Source organism: Homo sapiens, chromosome 12, assembly GCF_000001405.40.
Source record: "Homo sapiens chromosome 12, GRCh38.p14 Primary Assembly".
Classification (NCBI taxonomy): domain Eukaryota; kingdom Metazoa; phylum Chordata; class Mammalia; order Primates; family Hominidae; genus Homo; species Homo sapiens.
This window is the reverse complement of record NC_000012.12, coordinates 44,861,698-44,885,991: the sequence shown is the minus strand read 5'-3', so window position 1 is coordinate 44,885,991 and position 24,294 is coordinate 44,861,698. Positions and strand designations below refer to the sequence as shown.

The following is a 24,294-nucleotide window of genomic DNA, read 5'->3' as shown; positions in this document are numbered from 1 at the left end:
ACCATTATATATATATATGTCTATTCCTATGCTCTTTACTTTATTCCATTAATTTTTATGTCTAGCCTTATGCTAAAACTATACTGTCTTGATTTCTATAGCTTTATAGTATAGTATTGAAGTCAGATACTGTGAATCCTCTGATTTTACTCTTTTTCAAAAAAATTTTTGGCTTTTCTGTTTTCTTTGATTTTTCCATATAAATTTAAAAATCAGCTTATTAATTGCTACAAAATAGCCTGCTGGGATTTTTATTGAGATTTTCTTGAATCTTTATATCAATATGAAGATAATTGATATCTTAACAATAAGAACTATATGTATCTGTGAGCACGTAGATCTTTTTATCCACTTAGGTATTTTTTAATTTCACTCAGCAAAGTTCTATAGTTTTTTGTGTAAAATCTTGCCTGTATTTTATTTTTCTTCATAAGTATTTCATGTTTTTTAATGCTGTTATAAATCATATATTTTTTAAATTGTATTTTTAATTATTTCTTGCTAGGATATACAAATAGAATTGATTTCTGTATATTGACTTTGTATTCTGCAACCTTGCCAACCCACTTACTAGTTGCAGTAGCTTTCTCACATATGCTTTGGGATTTTTTAAAGGTAGATGACCATATCATTTAGGGAAAACATTTATTTCTTCCTTCTCAATGTGAAGAACTTTTATTTCTTTTTAATTTTAATTTTTAATTTTTTTTTCTGAAACATAATCTTGCTTTATCTCCCAGGCTGGAGTGCAGTGGCATGATCTTGGCTTATTGCAACCTCTGTCTTTTGGGTTCAAGCAATTCTTCTGCCTCAGCTTCCCAAGTAGCTGAGATTACAGGTGCTCACCACCATGCCTGGCTTGTATTTATATTTTTATTAGAGACAGGGTTTCACCATGTTGGTCAGGCTAGTCTTGAACTCCTGACCTCAGGTGATCCGCCTGCCTCAGCCTCCCAAAGTGCTGGGATTACAGGGGGGAGCCACCACACCCAGCTGTTTTACTTCTTTTTATTGCCTCATTGGATAGACTGAATATAATCTCCAATACAATGTTGCCTCATTAGATGTATATTTTTAAGTTCTCTTTATTAGATTGAAGAAGTTCCCTTTTATTTTGCTTTGCAGTGAATTATTTATTTTAATGTGACTAGGTGTTGAATTTTGTCAAATCATTGTTTTCATCAGTGGATATAATCACGTTTTTCCTTCTTTAGGTTGTAAATGTGCTGAATTATCTTGATTGATTTTAAAATATTTTATCAACCTTGCATTTCTGGAATGAACCCCACCTTGTTGTAGTTTATTATCCTTTCTATATATTGCCAGATATAACTTAATAATATTTTGTTTAGGATTTCGTATGTTCCAAAGGTAAATTTAGAGTCTATGTTCTAGTTTTATTTTCTGTTATGTAACTGTCTTTGTCTGGTTTTGGCTAATGTCATACGAAAAGTTGGGAAGTGTTTCCCTTTCCTTTATTTTCTGGAATATTTGTGTAAAATTGCTATTAATTATCCTTTAAATGTGGTGGAATTTAGTGTTGAAACTAGATAAGACTAGAGATTTTTATTGATTATGAAAGAGGAATGTAGATGTTTCCAAATGGAATTGTGGATCTGTCTACTTCTTCTTTCAGTTCTATTACTCTTTCTCCAGGTAAATGTTTCATACATTTTGATGCTTTGCTGTTAGGTGCATATATACTTAGGATTGTTGTGTCTTAATTGTGAACCCTTTTGTTATTCTGTAATGTACCTCTTTCTTCCTGATAATTTTTTGTACTCTAAAGTTTGCTTTTTCTGACATTCACATATGACATTCAACTTTCTTTTGATTCATGTTTACCTAGTATATATATTTTTATATATTTTTAATCCTTTACCTTTAACTTACCTCATTATATTTGAAGTAGATTTCTTTTTAATAACATATAGTGGGATTATATTTTTCAAATTCCTTCTGATGAGTTCAGTCTTTTAATTGTTATGATTAGACCACTTGTATTTAAGGCAATTATTGACTCGTTTGGATTTTGGCCTACCATTTTATTGTTTCCCTTTGTTCTTTCTATTTTCTGTTCTATCTTAACTATTTCCTGCTTTCTTTCAAGTTATTTAAATATTTTTAGAATTCCATTTTACCTGTTGTATCTCTTAACTATATCTTTATTATATTATAGGATTTTGGGTTGGTGCTCTAGAGAATTATGATATACATACTTCACTTTTTATCATCTACTTAGAGTTCATATGTTATTACTTCAATTGGAATGTGGAAACCTTACCATTATATCGGTCCCTTTATTCTCATATCTTTATGTTGTGTTTGTCTTATGTATTAAATCTACATATGTTAAAACTCCATTAGATAATTTAAAAACATTTTCTTTCAATCATTGTGGTAGCCAGGAGAATGGAGTCCCAAAGATGTCTACAACCTAATCCCTAGAACCTGTGAATGTGTTACTTTACATAGCAAAGAGACTTGAACATGTGATTAAGGCAAAGGGTCTTCAGATGGGGAGACTATACTGGATTATCCAGGGGGTCCTAATCTAAAAATATAAATCCTTAAAAGCAAAGGCCCTTTCTAAACTGTAGTCAGAGAACCAGAGAGAGTGTAGTGTGAGAAAGACTTTGCCTGCTGTTGCTGGATTGAAGATTGAAGGAGGGGGCAATGAGCCAAGGAATGCAGACACCCTGTAGAAGTTAAAAAAGGTATAGAAATAGATTCTTCCCTAGAGTCTTCAGAGTGAAGCTTAGTCATGCCAATTCTTTGATTCTAGCTTGGTGAGTCTGGTGTCAGGCTTATGGCCTTTGGATTTATAAAATCATAAATTTGTGGGCCAGGTTCAGTGGCTCACACCCATAATCCTAGCATTTTGGGAGACCAAGGCAGGTTGATCACTTGAGATAAGGAGTTCAAGATCAGCCTGGCCAACATAACACCCTGGCTCTACTAAAAATCCAAAAAAAAAAAAAAAATTGTCTGGGCATGTTGTTACATGCCTGTAGTCTCAGTTACTTGGGAGGCCAAGGCAGGAGAATTGCTTAAGCCCAGGAGGCAGAGATTGCAGTGAGTTGAGACTGCACCACTACGCTACAGTCTGGGTGACAGAAGGAGACTCTGTCTCAAAAAAAAAAAAAAAAAAAAAAAAGGTATATAGCCAGGCATGGTGGCTCACGCCTGTAATCCCAGCAGTTTGGGAGGCTGAGGTGGGTGGATCACCTGGGGTCAGGAGTTTGAGACCAGCCTGGCCAACATGGTGAAACCCTGTCTCTACTAAAAATACAAAACTTAGCCAGGCCTGGTGGTGCCTGCCTGTAATTCCAGCTACTCGGGAGGCTGAGGCAGGAGAATTGCTCGAACTCGGGAGGTGGATGTTGCAGTGAGCTGAGACGGTGCCACTGCATTCCGGCCTGAGTGACAGAGTGAGACTCCATCTCAAAAAAATAAGGATATATATGTATGTGTGCGTGTGTGTGCGTGTGTGTGTATATGTGTGTGTATGTATATATACACATATGTATATATGTTGAAAATACATATATACACGTATGTATGTATACTTTCAACATATATACATATGTGTATATGTATACACGTATGTATGTATATTTTCAACATATATACATATGTGTATATATATATACATACATATATATGAATCTGTGTTGTTTTAATCCACCAAAGTTGTGGTAATTTGTTACCGCAGCAATGGAAAAATAATATAACCATCAAACATATTTTACAGTACTCAAGAATAGTATATTTTTTAACCCAGATATTTGCCACTTCTACTCTTCATTCCTGATATGCTGTTATCTTTATGGTATTATTTCTCTTCTGCCTGAAGAAATTTCTTTAGCAATAATTTTAGAGTAGGTCTATTGGCAATCAGTTTTTAAAGATTTTCTTTATCTGAGAATGTTTTTCTTTCATATTTATTCCTGAAGGGTATTTTCAACAGATAGAGAATTCTGGGATGACAAAATTCTTTGGACACTTAGAAAAAAAAATTCCACTTTTTTGTGGCCTCCATGGTTTGCATTCATTCAAACTGTTGTTTCCCTATATGTAATGCCATTTTTTCTTGTTGCTTTTAGGATTTTTTCTTCTCTATTGATAGTTCCATTTTTCTATTGTTTTCAGCACTCTGGTTATGGATTCCTATAAGTGTATCCTGTTGAAGTTTGCTGAGCTCCTTGAATCTGTAAGTTTATGTCTTTTGCCAAATTTGAGACATCTTAGAACATTCTTTCTTGATTAACAACAACAACAAAATGTCTGCACTCTTTCTTCTCCCCTTTTGGAATTCTGATGACATTTTCTTTTCGTTTTGTCCCACAGGTTCCTGTGACTATATTCATTTTTTAAAAAAAGTCTTCTCCCTTTTGTTCAGATTGGGTAATTTTAATTGATCTGTCTTCGAGCTCACTGATTCTTTCCTTTATCATTTTCATTCAGCTACTGGGCCCATTCTAATGATTTTTGTTTGTTTATTTGTTTTTAATTTCAATTATTCTGTTTTCCAGCTCTAAAATTTCCACTTGGTTCTTCTCTATATCTTTTATGTATTTGCTGCCATTTTCTGTCTTTCATTGGTTTCAAGAGTATTTGTGTTTATTTGTTAGAGCATTTTTATAATAGTTTCTTTAATCTTTTCCAGATAATTCCAACATCTGTGTCATCTTGGCATTGGTATCTGTTGATTATATTTTTCTTATTTAAGTTGAAGTTTTTCTAGTTCTCCATATGCCAAATAATTTTTTATTATAACCTAAATATTTTAATATTAAGTTATAAAACTCTGAATTTTGTTAAGTACTGTGGTGAATGTTGGATTTTTAGAAATTTAAGCAGGCGATTGACTCTTTAGAATTTAGACAGAAGATTTTGACTTGTCTTCCTTTTGTGTGGTTTTAAGACTTTGTAGTATGCAACTGTGCAACACAGAGGCCAGCCTGTGACCTGGGTAATGGTCTATTTCTTAGACCACTACCTGGCTGGTAATCATTGCCTGGCTGGTCTGAGTGCAGTGGTGCTTACAACTAATTGGTCACAACCAATTACAGATTTATTTGTTCATTTTCCACTCCTACTGCTTCAGTTGACTAGCCAAAAACAACAACAACAACAACAACAACAACAACAAGAACAAAACAAAGAACTCACTGCCAGTATGGTAGTACTTCAAACTCTGGTTTTCTTTCCTAGTTTGCTTGATACCATGTAATTTTCAGAGTCCTCAAATACTTTATACATTCTGTTGAATTTTGATGGCATTCAGTGGGAGAAATGGTAAAGTGTACTTAATCCATTTTACCCAGAGTTAGAGCCTCATGATATTCTTTAATTTTTGAAAACTTTTAAATGTTATTTGTTTAAATGTTATGTATAATACTATATACTTCTATTCTTTCTAGTCTGTTATTCCACATCTCTAACTAGTTGTGTGTTGGTTATTTTAACTGTAACATTCATGTTTTGTTTATGTTTTCCATTCTTTTTATCGGTCTTGGCACATTCTCAGTAATATTCTCACATCTGACTTTTTGTTTTCAATGTTTTTGGTCACTAATTTTTAGCACTGTTTTATTGCTGCTTATTAGAGCTAATGGTTTTTAATATTGTTTTTAAACATACTTTTATTGCTAGAAGTTCTATTTGGTTTCTTTTGAGATATGTCTACTCTTTTCTCATACAATTCTGTCATTTCATTTCTTTTATATCCCTTTAAAAATATCTCCAATCACTTAAACATTCTTATTTTATGTTTTCTGTCACTTTATTTTTTGATATCCTGAGGTCATGAGATACTAATTCTCTGTTTTTCTCTCTCTCTCTCTCTGTGTGTGTGTGTGTGTGTGTGTGTGTATGTTTCTTGACTATTTTTCATAGTCTTTTATCTCAGTGTAATAGTAATAACAATGACAATTATTATTATTATTATTGCACAGCAGGAATTTTCTTCTTGTGTACCAGAAGTCATAGAAAGTCACTTAAAAGAAGTCTTATATTTGCTTCTTCAGAAGACCCTGGGAGTTTAATGCTACTTTTTGATTTTAGAATTTCCATATCAGTGAGGAGTGTGATCTCGGACCTTGTACCTGCAAGTGGCAAAGCTTGAGATTTGACATTTAGTATAGGTGCATTGGTTTTCCACAAGGGCACGTGCAGCTGGCAAGCTTCGGCCAACATGCAAAGTTTTAAAGTTTCAAAAGTTTCTTTTTGTAGGAGATATAATTCTTCAAAGCTTACTACTCTTATCAGAAGAATCAGTAATATCATCATCTTTTCTGGCTTCCAAAATTTGTTGTTTTCAGTTCTGGTGTGGATGTTAAAATCCCACTCTATTTTCTTAGGGTCCCGATAGAGTCTGAATCCCTGTGTTCCACCCTCTCCAAATTCTTGCACCACCTATTGCTTTCTCTGTCCATCTTCTGCTATGTCTTTTTTCTAGCACCTGGGGATTTTCTTTTCTTAATTTAAAGCTCATCTGTGAATTTAAAAATTGGGCATTTTACTTAGCTTTGATATGTGTATATGGTAGGAAGGGATCTAAGGGTCGTTAGAGTCAACCATGTTTACTGAACTTTTCCTCATGTAGTCAGTACTTATATTAGTTTTCCGTGGATGCTGTAACCAACTACCACAAATTTAGTGGATTAAAACAACACAAATTTATTATCTTACGGATGGTTGTTCAGAAGTCTAAAACAGTCTTGACTTTTTTGGGCAAGAGTCAAGTTATCAGCAGGGTTGTATTCTTTTCTGGAGGCTCTAAGGGATAATCTTTTTCCTTGCCATTTCCAATTTCTAGATGCCTCCCATATTCCTTGTCTCATAGCCCTTCTATATTTTCCCATCTTCATAGTCAGCAACAGGAAGTCGAGTTCTTCTCATATTGCATTAATCTGACCTCCTCTTATGCCTCCTTCTTCCACATTTAAGGGCCCTCGTGATTATATTGGGCATACCCAGATAATCTGAAATAATCTTCCTATTTTAAGGTTACCTGATTAACAATCTTAATTCCATCTGCAACCTTAAATCCCCTTTGCCATGTGAGGTAACATACACAGGTTCCACTGATTAGGAACTGGAAAAGACTGTTTCTTAAGGGGAAGGGGATTGGAATATTATTATGCCTACAACAATGATTGCAAGCAAAATTTTAACATTGTCTAAAAGGAGTTTGAGTGTATGTAGATATAATACATAAGACAACTACAACCTAAAGAGTTGAGGATAAAGGGATTTGATGTGGTAGTAAAGCTTCTGTATTCGAACTGAAGTGGTAATGTATGGACTCTAGGTAGAAGGTGAAAAGTTAAGTATGTATATTGTATTCCCTAGAATACCAATTTTAAAAGCTTCACAAAGAGATATAGTCAAAAGAACACATAGATAAAATGGAATACTGAAAATACTGGCATTCAGTGGATAGAGACCAAGAATTCAACTAACATCCTACAAGGCACAGGACAGCCCCAATAAAGAATTATCCAGCCCCAAAATGTTAGTAGTTATAATGTTGAAAACTCCTGCCCAGGTTGAGAAACTCTGCCCTAGCTAATACAATGGCTCACCTTTACTATGGGTTTCCAAACCTTATACCTTAGTTTTAGAGAAACAACTCTTCACACCTCCCCATACTCATATTTTAATGATTTCCATACTATTTAATTAGGTCAAATAATTACAGTAGCAGGTTCAACTAGAATTATTTTGGGTACCAAATACCACTGTTCTGGAGGGAGCCTCAGTGTGTATGGTACTGGAGATAAGCCCATTAACCACCAGCTTTCAGCATATGGATGAGAGTCAGAGAAACTCGAGAGTATCCCTACTTTCATGAGTTGGTTGAACACAGGTTGGTTAGGAGGACTTTTATGTGGAAATATATATGTGCATATGTATATTTATGTTTTATTCTTTTCTCTAATGATAGCATTTTAAATGCTACGTTATTTAAAATTTATTTCGTGTAGCTTCTGTAGATACTTATTACAATTGAATATTTTAGATGCACAGCTGTAGAAAGGTCTTTAATTCTCTGATGATTAATTTCTTTTCATTGATTAATTAAATTGTATTATTTATTTGGCATAGTTTTTCAAATTTGGGAAATTGCATATGACAATCCTTTATCACTTGTAAGTACTGAAATATTTCTCAAACTTTACAAAGTTACAAATAGAATTAAATGGGAAATTCGATAAGAGAGAATTAAAAATTAATTTAAAAGAGCTCCCGAATTCTGAATCTTTTGTCTTAAAAATTCTAAGGGCAGATCTAAAAATACCTCTTTCCCTATAGTATAATATAGTATATGTATTCCACTATATGATAATATCTATAACTATATATCTATAGATAAAATGTATATTATACTCCTGCCTTGCAGGGGGCTCAGACTACCCAGTAGGCATTTTGGTAACTGTAGCTGTTAGTATCCAGTTGGAGAATTCAGTACCCACATGTTTGCATGGAAGGTTAAGAAACCCAATTGATCTTTGTACAGATTAATACCATAATGGTTTTTTAAACTCTTAACTTTTCCAAAATGAAAGTGGAATGCCATTCCTCAAAATTTACCTAAAAATTTTAGGGCTATGTTCAAAAAATATTATGTACCATTGATCTTGAACATACATGTGCCTGCTGAAAAATGGATCTCAAAGGACACCACTTTTATGGTCCCGGACATATGTGGTGAAGGGCAGGTAGAGCCTGCATGAGTGTGGTCAACAGTGGGATGGCTCTTCTCTCTCGCCTGGGCTCCATCTCCTCCCTCTGCTTATTTACGTATTTATTTATTTCTCTCTCTCTCTCTCTCTCTAACCATCTCCTCTATGTAGGTAGATATTTCGGCGTGAACAGACGCCCTGGCTCAGTTCCCCTTGCCTTCTGCTGTATGCTGGTCCCAGAGAGCCCGAGTCCGGGTCTCCACGCTTTATTTGGCAGGGGGCGCGCGGGTTCCGGAGCTGTCCAGCACCTCCTGGCCAAGTTCTCTGCGCTCTCCGCGCCCGGGAAGCTCTCCGCGCCGGGGAAGCTCTCCAGCGCCCCGCCCCCGGCAGGGAACCTCTCCACCAGGACACCCGGGGCTTCCCAGGCTCGCCATCCGTCCCCACCAGTCTCTACCTACTTTGCCCAGCTCCACCTCGGCAGTGCAGCGTGTTTTGGTGGCCTTCCTCCGCACGCCCTGGAGGGGGAGTGCCCTGCACCCCGGGGCTGCTCCGGAGCCCAGTGCACGAGTGCACATGGGCTTCCCTCCTTTGCTTAAAGGGCAGGCGAGCGCTACTCGCTCCAGCCTTGCCTCCTGCAGCTGGGTGGTCTTTTTTCTCTCCTGTCTTTCAAGACACGCGCCCGAAATCGAGGGGTGAGAGCAAAGACCGCCCATCAACTTAGCACCTTGGATTTAGAGCTTTCAATCCCGAAAGGAGGTTGGCATTGCCCGGGTCATCGAGAGAGGGAGGGAGAAGAGCTGAGGCTGCAACGGCTCCTGGGCTCCCTAGACCGGGTTTGGCATCCAGGAGACCGTGCGGGAGACCGACGCTGAGCGCCGGCCTCGCCCTCGGCGGCCCCTCCCTCCTCCTTACCCCGCCTCCCCCGGCCCGCCCCTCCCTCCCCGGAGGAGCAGTCTCTCCGCGCGTCTCCCGGAGCTTTCTCCATTGTCTCTGCCTTTACAACAGGTTCGGGCGGCGGGGAAGACGGGGGGGTGCGGGGCCGCCCCAGCCCGGGCTTTCTTGGGGCCGCCCCCCTTCTACCGGGTGTGCGAGTCTTTGGCTGCTTTTATTCGGCTCGGGAGCTAATTCCCCGACGGAGCCGCGCCGGGGCGAGTCCGACCCCTCCCTCCGGGCCCCCTCCGGGCCGCGCTGCCGCCTCGGCCCTGCGTGTGGGAATGATGTGCGCATTGGAGGGTCTAAGTTCTTCACGCGCCTGGGGAGGCCTCCCTTTTCTTTCTTAGGCAACCAAAGCGTATTAATCCTACTGATCAGTAAATCCGAGGCAGCAGCAGGAGAGACAAACGTTATTTTCCCGCTTGATTCCAAGAACCTCTTCGATTTTTATTTTTATTTTTAAAGAGGGAGACGATGGACTGAGCTGATCCGCACCATGGAGTCTCGGGTCTTACTGAGAACATTCTGTTTGATCTTCGGTCTCGGAGCAGGTGAGTGGCCGCAGAGCTGGGGCTGGGGAAAGGGATGGCTCCCGCCTCGGGGCAGCATGGGCTGGCTGGGGAAGCCTCGCTTTTCCCGGACCCAAAGTAGGTCTGGAGTGGGAAGCTTGGAGTAAGGGGGCGGGTTTGGATATGGATTTTTTTTTTTTCTGTGCTTGCCTTGGAGACCGCGAGGCGGATCACGCCCCTAGTCCAGGGTCGGAGGGCTGAGGGGGAACTTTGCAGAGAGAAGGGTTTAAAGGAGGTCATGGAAACGGGACTGGGTGCTCCGCTATTTAAAGCTTGGCTGCTGATCTCAGGTAAGGCTCTCGGCGGAGGAGGAGGCAGTCGCCTCTCATCTTCAGTTCCCAATATTGTCGCGAAAACGCGGTTCTTTGCTGCCCTGGAGGAAGAGACTTGCATTTTGATGGAGCTTTTCCTTTTTCTCTCTCCCACCTCATACCCCTCACCAGTTTGGGGGCTTGGTGTGGACCCTTCCCTACAGATTGACGTCTTAACAGAGTTAGAACTTGGGGAGTCCACGACCGGAGTGCGTCAGGTCCCGGGGCTGCATAATGGGACGAAAGCCTTTCTCTTTCAAGGTATGCCCGGCGTGCTGCATCCCCACTGTGATTTCAGTTCCGATAACCCCGGCAGGAGTTGCTCTTGCCGCTTGTCCTAACTTTGTATTGCCTCATGGATGACAGTACTTTAGCTGAGGTGTAGAAGGGCCAGTGTGAGACACATATCCCTATCTCTTTTAAGTGGTTTTTTCTCCCCTGCCTCACCCTTCTCCTTCGTACTTTGTACTCTTGCCAGTTCTAATGGATAGTCCCTTAATTACTGAGCAGAAACTCCTATGGCAGATGGTTGATTTTAGAATCTGGGGAACAATGAATTATAACACAAACGCCTCGTTTGGGTGAAATTGATTTAGGTAGGAAAAAGGATAGCTTAATCTTAGTTAAGACACTGATCTCTGAAAGTTTCAGGTACGATGGTGCCCTGCTTGGAGGAATTGTTTTATGGGGGTAGCTTTCTGGAAAAATTAATGCCTCTGAATATTTTTACTTACTGCATATCACAGTCGCAGTATATTTGAGGCAAAATTTATCTTTGAAAGACCCTCATTCTTCCTTCATCCACCAATAACAAGAGAAAGGGAATAATGGTCTCAAAAGTATTTTGGAAAGATTTCAAGTAAATGTTAATCTAGAAGTGTATCTCATATTATCATTAATTGTGTACTTACGATTTTACAACTTTTTTTTGAAGTCAATGGATATTGGCTGGGCACAAATGTCTACATCTCAAATTATATTTAAATGTGTTGTGCAGTCAGAAGCAAATTCCAATGCAGCAAACCTTCAACTTTGATTAGAGCTTTTGAGGATTGCTTGTTTGTGGAAAGTTGCCGTAATAAGAGCTTCTAAAAGGTAGCTAAACGTGTACAGACAGACTAGATTCATGTATGGTGAAGAATACATGAAGGCAAAAGAGAATGGAGTTTGGTTTAACATATCTAATGGACTAAAGCTTCTTGCCCTACCTCACCCAGATTTTTGTTGTTGTTGTTGTTATTTTGGTGCCATGGCTTTGAAAGTGCAATTCATAATTACTAAAGAGTTGGATATGCAAAAGGAAACCACTTCGGAAAATATGCTACCAAGAAATAGAAATAAAATAAAACTTGAGTGTTTCTGTAGTGGTGTTGTTGCCTGATATAGCCAGTATGTGTCACCATGGACACTAAAACCAAAGCTTAGAGTTGGGAAAGGAGGAAATTCACATGTGTTACATTTACTTAAAACAAGTTTGCTCTTATAAAAAATTAAAATGCAATTTTCTGGCTTAAAAATTATTGTTTAAATTTTATGTTTAAGTTAATTTTTTATTGTAACAAATATTTATGGTAATGTTTTATTCACTTAAGGGTCTTTTATAAGAGGGTGGGGCTTGGATATTGAATCCTTTAAAAACAATGACCAAATATAATAAAGAAGATAAGGCTACATTGTCAGCAGAATTTCACACAGTTGAATAGAAGTGTCAGTAGGGTTAACCTTCTGTTTTTTTTTTTTTGTTGTTGTTGTTTTGTATTGTGTTGTTTTTATCTCTGATTTTTAATCCCTATGAACTGGAAACAAAGTTATTTCAGGACTGCCAATTCGAGTAACTGGAAAGCTTTATGGAATCTAAAGCTCCTAATAAACAAATGGTATTGTAGTGCTCTTAAAATTTACAAAGCTCCTTTAAATTTTATTAGTATTCTACCTAGTTTCCTCTGAAGAGTGTCTGATCTGTCACAAATAGAAACCTTCAGGACTGTGCATTTTATATTCTGATGCTAGAAAATTAAACCATTTTTAGGAAATAGTCTCAGGAATCGATAACTTTTCCTGGTTAATTAAAAATGTTTAGTTATTCATTTTTATTTAAATTGTCAAATTCTTCAAGGTAGGTGTTCAAAATACATAAGGCATATAAAATGTTTTGTTTGAATTGTCCATAGTAACTAGATATCCATGTACATTGATGAATTGGTTGTTTTTCCTTCCTTGTTGATGCCGAGCTCAATATTTAGACAGAGTAAATGCCTAACAAATATGGTTTATGAGATTTGAAGGTGTAAAATTTCATTTTCTGCCAAATTATGGACTTTATTTAATATAACCAATCAATCAGCAAGTATTTCCTGCATGCCATGTTCTCAGTAGGCATATATTACTGATGTATTGATTATGCTCTTGTGATTTCTTTTATTCTAAGATTCGGATTATGAAATTGACAAAAGGTGGCCCTTTGGCCATGCATGGAATTTCGCATTACCTTGGCAAGGTCTTTGCTAATAGCATTTGGAAACTTGTTAAGAAGTCAGTTCCGAGTCTTGCTGCTTCATTGAGATTTCCTTTGGCTTTAGAGAGAAAAAAATATACAGACTGAAGATTTTATAGATTCTATTTACAGTGAGTTGAGGGTGCTGCAGATATTTTGTACGGTATATACATATACACTATACATAGTCATAGCAGGAATAGTAACAAATTACAAAATCCGTGAGATGCTCTCAGGTTTCATATGAACCTATCATATAAGTTTCTTTGTGCTATCAGATATGTTCTAAATAGATGGAAGAGATTTTTGGACCATCAAATTTTTCCTGCAGTAATGTAACCATCTTCTTCTGTCTTTTAGCTTTAAAATAAAGAAATCTCAACATATACTTTCCCAGTGATTTTTGCTCATTTAATATTGCTTTTCCTTGTGCCAGTTTTTCTCCTTAGTGGATTTTGAGATGCATGCAATTCAATACCTTTTGAAACTCGTAAATTTATTATTATCTATACCTAATAAAAACAAATGGAAATATATTTTAAAGTCATATGTTTTAAAAATAATAATAGCAACTATAGTATCACTAAAATGGTTTTGTTGTTGTTGAAATTTGATTTATAGTTGTTTTGGAAATTCAAGTAATAAGATGCTAAATTAGATTACACCTTAATAAATATGGCTTTTGATCTTTGCCAATTACCATAATTTTCAAAAAAGGAATCCAGGCAATTTTCTAGTCATTTCTAGCTATAATCTGACTTGCAGCCACAAAAATACACTTATTATGCTTTTAAAAATTAGAGGAGTGAATGTAGACAATAAAAAGACCTATGAAAGGTTATAAAGGGTTCTACTTTCTAAAATCTAGGAAGTATTCCCCAAGATAATGATCATAATAATGTTTTTTTCCTCTCTGTACATGAGGGATCAGGAATGAGAGTATACAGAAGCACCATTCTAGGACTTTCTAGCAATGTTAGCATGATTTTTAGATCTTTGATTTTAACAATTAATCTGGCCAGGTTCCCAAAGTAGATAATTTCCTCTGTTGGTTTAATACAATTTCTTCTGAAGTGTTAACAGATTTTATAATCTCATTAATCCATAGAAGAGAAGTGGATAAAATCAAAGCATGTTTTTTTTACAAGTTGTTAAGTTGAAAATAAGCTTAGTAGTTATTTGTAAAAAACTTTAAGGTTTTAAAGGGAAAAAAAGGTCGTACGTCTCCTCTTATGCCAGTGTTACGCAGAGTGAAATAGGCATTTGGTAATAGACCATGGACTTTAGTAGGCAAAGGTAACTGCATTGAGGAAATCGAGGTGGCACTAATTTGTCTTCAGTATGATGGTTGGTGAGCATCTGTGGACTTTGAAGTGATGGCTGTTGGTGCCCAAATAGTGTGGAATAACACAGTGTTTAAGAGATGCACTTAGAAACAAGATAGACTGAGGTGGAATTTCATTAGTTGTTTTACTGTGGTGAAGTTACTTAATTTCTCTAAGCTCCAGTACCCTCAATTATAAAATGATCATTGTTATGACAATTAAGCGAGTTACTTTCATTCTTTCAAATAAGTTATTTTTGGGAAACTAGCATACTGCTAGGTGTTAGGCACATAACAAATGAAGACGTTAGAACTTAACTTTGATTTCATAGTGTCTTAAAAATAGCCGTTGAACAATTACATAGTTACAGACCTAATCACCATTAAGATAAATTATATGAAGAAAAACTGAAGATATAATGGGAATCTATATTTTAGTTAGGGGAGTCTCAGGCTCAGGGAAACCATCTTTGAAGAATAGTCATTTAAGCTGATAGTTGAAGGATATGTAAGAGTAGTCCAAAGAAGAGAAGCTATGGGGATAGGCAAAGGGACTAGTGTGTGAGCAAGGTTCTGAGCATGGGATGAATGTGCATTTGAGAACGTGGAGGAAGTCTAGAGAAGTAGAAACATAGGGCATGTGATATGAAATAAAGTATATGAGGAAAGCAGGAACCAGGTTACATGGTAGGCTATACTAATAGAGCAGAATTGAAAATTTATCATTATGGAAATATATATTATGGTGGGCAGAATAATGGTCCTGCATAGATGTTCATGTCTTAATTCTTGGAACCAAACAATAGGTTACGTTATACAGCAAGGGGAAGTTAAGTTTGCTCATCAGCTGACTTTAAGATTAGGAGGCTATCATAGGTTATCTGGGTGAGCCCTGTGTAATCAGAAGAATCTTTTGAAATGGGGAGAAGGAAGCAGAATAGTCAGTGTAGAGTGATGTGATATGAGAAAAACTAGTCTGGCCACTGGTGGCTTTAAAGGTGATAGTGGGCCACAAGCCAAGGACTGCAGGCAGTTTTTAGATGCTGAAAAAGGCAAGAAAATGAGTTTTCTCTTACAGCCTCCAGAAGGAATGTAGTGCTACTGATACCTTGATTTTAGACCAATGAGACTCATTTTGGACTTCTGATCTCCAGAACTGTGAGATAATAGATTTGTGTTGATTTAAGTCACTAAGTTTGTGGTGATTTGTTTGAGCAGCAATAGGAAACGAATACAAATTTTCCTGCATGGAAGTGTGGTGCTGGTGTAAGAAATACCTAAAAAATATGGAAGTGGCTTTGGAACTGGGCAATGGGCAGATGCTGGATGAATTTTTAGGAGCATGATAGAAAAAGCCTAGATTGCCTTAAATAGACTTTCAGTAGAAATATGGTTATTGGTGACTCTATTATTGAGGACTTAGAAGAAAGTGAAGAGCATGGTAGAGAGAAAATCTAAATCACCTCTGAATATTCCTAAATTATCATAAGCGAGCATTGGTTAGGTATAGACATTGAAGGAACTGCCATTGAGGGCTCAGATGGATATAAAGAATTTTTATTATAAACTGAAGGAAAGGGGACCCTTCTTACACAGTGGCAGAAAACTTAGCTGAATTGTACCCTGTGGTTATGTGGAAAGCAAAACTTGTAAACAATGAACTTAGATTTTAGCTAAGGTGATTTGTAAGCAACAAAAGTGTTGAAGGTGCACTCTGGCTTTTTCTTGCTGTTTGTAGTAACGTGAGAGGAGAGAGAGAGATTTAGGGAATAATTGTTGAGCAAAACATATTCATAACTTGATATTTGAGAAATTATCAACCTATTCAGATTCCAAAACATGTTAAAATAGGATATTCACTGTTAGGAATACCTAGTCTGAAAAGAAAGCCAAGGATGTGACTAGAAAATATTTTGCTAGTGCCTCAGAAATATCAAAAGGTCAGAGTATTCAGTTACATTGAGGGCTCTTTGAAGAACATATGACTCATAGATCCCCTCAACCATTTCAGCAGAGGTCACAAATAGAGATGGAATTATCCAAGAAATATCTATGGAGGAGCCTTTTTTGTTTAATGGAGTGAATCCCCATGACATACATGGGAGATCTACAAGGTTCTTAAGAATATTATGGCAGTAAAATTGCTGCTGGTGTGGCCTGAAAGAATCAGTGAGAGAATAAAATGAAAGAAGGTGTTGGATCCCCAAAATTCTACAAGCAAAAAACAGGCTGACTTGGCTGTCAACATCTTTCTATGAAGCTACCTTTCATGAAAAAAGAAGGTTAATTCAAAGGGCAGAACTCAGAGCCCAGAGCATGGAGCTGACTCCAGAGGGTGGAACCAATAATTACAGAAGCTTATTTCTAGACCTTGAAACCAAGTGGTGTTTGCCTGGCTGGATTTTAAAGTTGCTTGGATATGGCAATTGTTTTTTTTTCTTTCTTCCATTTTCTCCCTTTTTGAATGAGAATATTTAGAACTATCATCTTTATCTGCCTTACCATTGTGTTTTTGAGAGCAGATACTATGTTTCAAGGTGTGCCTCAGAATGGATTATATGCAGCGCCTTTCTCATACCTGTTTTAGATGATTTGGATGATGAGATTTGAGACTTTTGTTTTTGTTTTATGTTTTGTTACTTAAAATTTAATTATTTTTAAATTGACAAAATTGTATACATTTATTGTGTACAACACAATATTTTGAAATATACATTGTGGAATGGCTAAATTGAGCTAATTAACATATTCATTACCTCATGTACTTATAATTTTTTTTGGTGAGAACACTTAAAATCTATTTGAAATTTTGAAGAGTACAATGTATTATTACTATAGTCATTATGTTGTACCATAGATCTCTTGAACATATTGTGCCATCTAATTGAATTTTGGTCCTTTGACCAACATCTCCCCAACAACTATCCCCCATCCCCAGGCCCTAGTAACCAGCATTCTACTTTCTGCTCCTATAAGTTCAACTTTTTAAGGTCCCACATATAAGTGAGATCATGTGGTATTTGTCTTTCTGTGAAGGGCTTATTTCACTTTACATAATGTCTTCCAGGTTGATCCACGTTGTCTCAAATAACAGGATTTTCTTCTTTGAGGTGGAATAGTATTCCATTGTGTACATATACCACATTTTCTTTATGTGTTCATTTGCATTCGTATGTTCTTTGCAGCATTATTCATAATTGTCAAGATGTGAGATCAACCTAATTAATGGTCACCAATGGATGAATGAATACAGAAAAATGTCATTGGAATTTTAATAAGGGTCGCAGTAAATCTGTAGATCATTTTGGATAGTGTGGAAATTTTAACAATATTAATTCTTTGAATCCATGACCAAAGCATATCTTTTCATTTATTTGTGTCTTCTTCATTTCTTTCATCAGTGTTTTATAGTTTCAGTATACAGCTCTTTCACCTTCTTGATTAAATTTATATGTAAGTATTTTATCTTTTTCATAGCCATTGTAAATGAGATTGTTTTCATGATTTCTTTTTCAGGTAGTTCATTTTTTTTTTTTTTTTTTTTTTTTGAGATGGAGCCTCACTGTTTCACCTAGGCTGGAGAGCAGTGGTGAGATCTAGGCTCACTGCAACCTCTGCCTCCTAGGTTCAAATTATTCTCCTGCATCAGCCTCCCAAGTAGCTGAGATTACAGGCACCCGTCACTACACCCGGCTAATTTTTGTATTTTTAGTAGAGACAGGGTTTCACCATGTTGGCCAGGCCAGTCTTGAACTCCTCACCTCAAGTGATTGGACCGCCTCGGGCTCACAAAGTGCTGGGATTACAGGTGTGAGCCACTGCACCTCACCAGTTTATTGTTAACATAGAGACACTACTTTTTGTTTGTATATTGATTTGATATCCTGAAACTCTACTGAAATCATTTATTAGTTCTGACAATTTTTTGGTGGCATCTTCAGGATTTTCTAGATATAAGATGATGTCAAATGCAAGCAGGGATAAGTTAACCTCTTCCTTCCCAATTTTGATGCCTTTTATTTCTTTCTCTTGCCTAATTGCAAGTCTAGGACTTACAGTACTATGTTGAATAGAAGTGGCAAGATTGGGCATCCTTGTCTTTTTCCTTATTTTAGAGGAAAAACTTTCAACTTTTTACTGTTGAGTATAATGTTAGCTGTAGATTTGTTATATCTGAACTTTATTGTGTTGAGATACATTTCTTCTATACATTTATTGAGAGTTTTTATCATGAAATGATGTTGAATTTTGTCAAATGTTTTCCTGCATATGTTGAAATGATCATGTGGATTTTGTCCTTTATTCTGTTAATTTGATGTATCACATTTATAGATTTGTGTATGTTGAGCCATTCTTGCCTCCTTGGGATAAATCCTACTTGATCATGGTGAATGATACTTTTAATGTGCTGTTGAGTTTGGTTTGCTAGTATTTCGTTGAGGATTATTTCATCTCTGTTCGTCAGCAATATTGGCCTGTAATTTTCTTGTAGTATCCTTATTTGGCTTTGGTGTCATAGTAATGCTGGCCTTATAAGATAAATTTGGAATTTATTCCCTCTTCTTCATTTTTTTGGAAGAGTTTGAGAAGGATTGGTATTGGTTATTTAAATAGAGTTTAGCAGTGAAGCCATCAGGCCTTGGACTTTTCTTTGATGAAGGACTTTTTATTATTGATTCAATTTGCTTACAAGTTATTTGTCTGTTCAGATTTTTCATTTTTTCATGATTTTGTCTTGGTAAGTTGTATGTGTCTAGGAATGAATACATTCCTAGACATATACACTTAAACTTCTAAGTTTATCTAATTTGTTGGCATATAATTGTTTATAGTAGTCTCATGATGTTTTGTATTTCTGTGGTATCAGTAATAATGTCTCTTCTTTCATTTCTGATTTTATTTATTTGAGTCTTCTCTCTTTTTTCTTAAATTTCTTAGCTAAAGGCATGTCAATTTTGTTTATCTTCATTAGAAAACAACTCTCTGTTTCATTTATTTTTTCTATTAATTTTAGTCTCTCTCATTTATTTCTGCTCTGATCTTTATTATTTCATTCCTTTGGTCTTACTTTGGTCTTATTTTGTTTTTCTTTTTGTAGTTCATTTATTTGTAACTTTAGGTTATTTGTTTGAGATTTTCTTCTTTTTAAATGTAGGCATTTGTTGCTATAAACTTACCTCTGAAAACTGCTTTTGCTGCATCCTTTATGTTTTGGTATGTTGTGTCCATTCTCATGTGTTTCAAGATGTCTTCTAATTTCCCTAATTTCCCCTTTCCTTCTAATTTCCCTTTTAATTTCTTTTTTGACCAATTAGTTGTTCATGAGCATGTTAATTTTTATGTATTTGCAAATTTTGTGGAATTCTCCTGTTACTGATTTCTAGTTTCATATCTACTTTAATCTTGTCTGGCTACTACAACAAAATATCTTAGATTGGGTAATTTTTTTATTTCTCACAATTCTGGAGGCTAAGAAGTCCAAGATCAAGGTGCCAGCAGATTTGGTGTCTGGTGAGGGCCATTCCTCATAGATTACACCTTCTTTGTGTCTTCACATAGTGGAAGTGATGAATGCTGTATCCTCACATGGCAGAAGGGCAAGAGACTCTAGGGTGCTTCCTTCAGTCTCTTTCATGAGACCATTAATCTTATTCATGAAAGTGGATCACTCATGACTTTCCAAAAGGCCCCACCTCTTGATAATATCACATTATGCATTAGGTTCCAACATTTGAATCTCGGAAAGACGTATACACTTAAACCATAGCAATACCATTGTGGTTAGAAAAGGTACTTGATATGATTTCATTATTTTTAAATTTGTTAAAACTTTTTTTTTTTAATTTTTTTTTTTATTATACTTAAAGTTTTAGGGTACATGTGCACATTGTGCAGGTTAGTTACATATGTATACATGTGCCATGCTGGTGCGCTGCACCCACTAACGTGTCATCTATCATTAGGTATATCTCCCAATGCTATCCCTCCCCCCTCCCCCGACCCCACCACAGTCCCCAGAGTGTGATATTCCCCTTCTTGTGTACATGTGATCTCATTGTTCAATTCCCACCTATGAGTGAGAATATGCGGTGTTTGGTTTTTTGTTCTTGCGATAGTTTACTGAGAATGATGGTTTCCAATTTCATCCATGTCCCTACAAAGGACATGAACTCATCATTTTTTATGGCTGCATAGTATTCCATGGTGTATATGTGCCACATTTTCTTAATCCAGTCTATCATTGTTGGACATTTGGGTTGGTTCCAAGTCTTTGCTATTGTGAATAATGCCACAATAAACATACGTGTGCATGTGTCTTTAGAGCAGCATGATCAGAGTGAACAGGCAACCTACAACATGGGAGAAAATTTTTGCAACCTACTCATCGGACAAAGGGCTAATATCCAGAATCTACAATGAACTCAAACAAATTTACAAGAAAAAAACAAACAACCCCATCAAAAAGTGGGCGAAGGACATGAACAGACACTTCTCAAAAGAAGACATTTATGCAGCCAAAAAACACATGAAAAAATGCTCATCATCACTGGCCATCAGAGAAATGCAAATCAAAACCACTATGAGATATCATCTCACACCAGTTAGAATGGCAATCATTAAAAAGTCAGGAAACAACAGGTGCTGGAGAGGATGTGGAGAAATAGGAACACTTTTACACTGTTGGTGGGACTGTAAACTAGTTCAACCATTGTGGAAGTCAGTGTGGCGATTCCTCAGGGATCTAGAACTAGAAATACCATTTGACCCAGCCATCCCATTACTGGGTATATACCCAAATGACTATAAATCATGCTGCTATAAAGACACATTGTTAAAACTTTTTTAATGGTCTAACAGGTGATGTATCCTGGAGTGTGTTCCATGTGCACTTGAGAAGAATGAGTATGCTGCTGCTGTTGGATGAAATGTTCTTTATATGTCTGTTAGGTCCATTTGATGTAAAGTGTAGTTTAAATTAAATGTTTCCTTATTGATTTTCCGTCTGGATGATCTGTTCATTGCTGAAAGTAGGGTATTAAAGTTCCCTAGTGCTATTGTATTGTATTGCAGTCTATCTCTTCTTTTAGATATATTAATATTTGCTTTATATATTTAGGTGCACTGATGTAAAGTGCATTTATATTTACAATTGTTATATCTTCTTGATAAATTTATCTCTTTATATAATGTACTTTGTCTGATTTTACAGTTTTTGACTTAAAGTCTACTTTATTTGATGTAAGTATAGCTATCCTGTTCTATTTTGTTTTCCATTTCCATGGAATTTTTTTTTATTCCTTCACTTTCTGTCTTCATGTGTTGTTAAAAGTGAAGTGAGTCTCTTATAGGTGGCATGTATCTGGGTCTTGCTTTTTATTTTTTAAATACATTCAACCACTTTATGTCTTTTGATAGCAGGATTTAATCCATTTGCTTTCAGGGTAACTATTGATAGGTAAGAACTTACTACAGGTATTATGTTAATTGTTTTATGGAAGTTTTGGACATATTTATTCCTTTCTTCCTCTCTTGTTGTCTTCCTTTGTGCTTAGGTGATTTCCTCTGGTGGTATGCTTTGATTCCTTTCCTTTTATCTTTTATGTATCTATTGTAGATTTTTTTCTTTGTAGTTACCACAAGGCTTACGTAAAACATTTTGTAGTTAAAACAGGCTATTTTAACCTGATAACAACTTAACTTTGATCTCATAAGAAAAACTCTACACATTTACAGCCAACTCCCTGCCTACATTTTATTTTATTTTTTAATGCACCGTTTGCATCTTTTTATATCATGTATTCCTTCATAAATTATTATAGCTTTTATTATTTTTAAATAGTTTTGACTTTTAACCTTCATACTGAAGATATAAGTGATTTACACACTACCATTATAGTATTTGAGTATTCTGAATTTGACTTTGTACTTCATTTTACCAATGAGTTTTATATTTCAGATGTTTTCATGTTACTAATTAGCATCCTTTTCTTTGAGCTTGAAGAACTCCCTTTAGCATTTCTTGTAAGACAGGTCTGGTGATGATGGACTCCCTTAGCTTTTGTTTGTCTGGTAAAGTCTTTATCTCTCCTTCATTGTTGAAGGGAATGTTTGCTGGGTTCAATATTCCTTGTTAGCAGTTTTTTTTTATTACTTCTACAATTTTAATATCACCCAGCTCTCTCCTCGTCTGTAAGACTTCTGTTGAGAAAACTTCTGTTAGCTTTATTGGAACTCCTTTATATGTGATTTGGTTCTTTTACTAGTTTTAGGATTGTTTTTGTCTTTGATTTTTGACAGTTTGATTATAATATGTCATGATATAGTCTTATTTGGATTGAATCTGATTGAAGACTGTTGACCTTTCTGTATCTGGATATCTTTCTCCAGATTTGAAATGTTTTCTGCTACTATTTCTTTAAAGAAGCTGGAAACCATCATTCTCAGCAAACTAACACAGGAACAGAAAACCAAACACCACATGTTCTCACTCATAATTGGGAGCTGAACAATAAGAACACATGGACACAGGGAGGGAAACATCACACACTGGGGCCTGTCGTGGGGTGGGGGGCTAGGGGAACGAATAGCATTAGGAGAAATACTTAATGTAGATGACAGGTTGATGGGTGCAGCAAACCACCATGGCACGTGTATACCTATGTAACAAACCTGTATGTTCTGCACATGGATCCCAGAACTTAAAGTATATGTATGTGTGTGTATATATGCTTTTTTACTTGTCTCTTTCTTCTTCCTTCTTAAACTCCTGATGCCGTCCCATAAATCCTGTAAGTTTTCTTCTTCTTTCCATTTCCTTCTTTTTTCTTTTCTGACTATATATTTTCAAATAACCTGTCTTTGAGTTCACAGATCCTTTCTTCCAGTTGATCATTCTGTTGGTATTACTGTCCATTGCACTTTTCATTTTGTGCACTGTGTTTTTTAGCTGAAGAATTTGTGTTTTTTCTAAATATAATTTTAAACTTTCCATTAATCCCTTTTCTGTTTAGAAAAAAAAGTGCAGCTCACTGTCAGCACTCATTGAATTTTGCATAAACATGCTTTTTGAGGCTGAAGCAAATCTGACTGATTTTCAATGTGAAAATAAAATATAAAAACTGTTTTTAGAGTTATTTATTAACAGAACTAACATCAGAATTATTTGAATCACCAGAATAATCAATTCTGGAAAAATCAGATTCATCAGATTAATCTTTGGCCAACAACTGTTCAAGAACAATGTTAACATCTGCATGGCAATGCTACATTTTCTAGGATTTGACATTTTCAGCAATTGAGAATTACTATATTTTTAAATGGAAATACCACTATTAAAAACAGAATGCTATAAATAGAATGATGTCTTTTGTTTCTAAAGCCTATATACTGGAGCAATGTAAAAATAATAATAAAAGCAAGATATTTCATGGCAAAGTTAGCTCAGAGTAAACACTGCAGCTGCAAGCGCTGCTGGTGAGTATTCGTGGGGCAAATGGGAAAAGAGTTAAACTTCTAATTTTGATCTCTTATTATTTTCCTGATTTTATTGAATTATTTATATGTACTTTCTTGAGGTTTTCTGAGCTTCATTAAAACAATTGTTTTGGATGCTTTGTCATGAAGTTTATATGTTTTCATTTCTTTGGGGTCAGCTATTGGGAGATTATTGTGCACTTTTGGTGGTGTTATATCTCCTTGGCTTTTTATGTTTCTTGTTGCTTGTGTTGAAGTCAGTGCATTTGAAGGAGTAGGGACTTATTCTAGTCTTTGCAGACTGGCTTTGTCTGGGAAAGCTCTTCACCAGTCAGCCAGTTCATAGATTCCAGGAAGACTGTCTGGCATGGTTGGTGGGAAGACTTATTGCTGGAGTTCTCAGACAGGCTGTCCTGGTGACTGGGTTAGCAGTTTGGCAGGCCTGTTGCCTGGACTCACTGATTGGGTCTGTGGGGCTAGCCTGGAGCCATAGTCC

At 36.4% G+C, this 24,294-nt stretch overlaps 1 protein-coding gene across 6 annotated transcripts in view, besides 2 other annotated features; it reads left to right on the top strand.

Annotated features, from left to right (window-relative positions):
- Window positions 1-24,294, top strand: part of NELL2 (neural EGFL like 2) — a 413,574-nt gene that overhangs the window by 35,857 nt on the left and 353,423 nt on the right. The window contains exons 2-4 of one of the 6 annotated variants that reach the window (XM_011538396.2): window positions 4,153-4,213; window positions 10,092-10,177; window positions 10,639-10,767. In XM_011538396.2, the coding sequence (XP_011536698.1) occupies window positions 10,123-10,177; window positions 10,639-10,767 (184 nt within the window). In that variant the 5' untranslated portion in view covers window positions 4,153-4,213; window positions 10,092-10,122. Of the gene's footprint in view, window positions 1-4,152; window positions 4,214-9,116; window positions 9,386-9,527; window positions 10,178-10,375; window positions 10,486-10,638; window positions 10,768-24,294 lie in introns of those variants that run through there. The other 5 variants (NM_001145107.2, NM_006159.2, NM_001145110.2 and 2 more) reach the window with 5 other exon arrangements.
- Window positions 8,553-9,052: an enhancer, noted in NCBI's record as "H3K4me1 hESC enhancer chr12:45270723-45271222 (GRCh37/hg19 assembly coordinates)". NCBI's record gives its function as "activates a minimal SCP1, AML or CMV promoter by ChIP-STARR-seq in primed H9 embryonic stem cells {active_cell/tissue: H9 hESC(primed)}" and the evidence as "EXISTENCE:reporter gene assay evidence [ECO:0000049][PMID:30033119]".
- Window positions 9,053-9,554: an enhancer, noted in NCBI's record as "H3K4me1 hESC enhancer chr12:45270221-45270722 (GRCh37/hg19 assembly coordinates)". NCBI's record gives its function as "activates a minimal SCP1, AML or CMV promoter by ChIP-STARR-seq in naive H9 embryonic stem cells {active_cell/tissue: H9 hESC(naive)}" and the evidence as "EXISTENCE:reporter gene assay evidence [ECO:0000049][PMID:30033119]".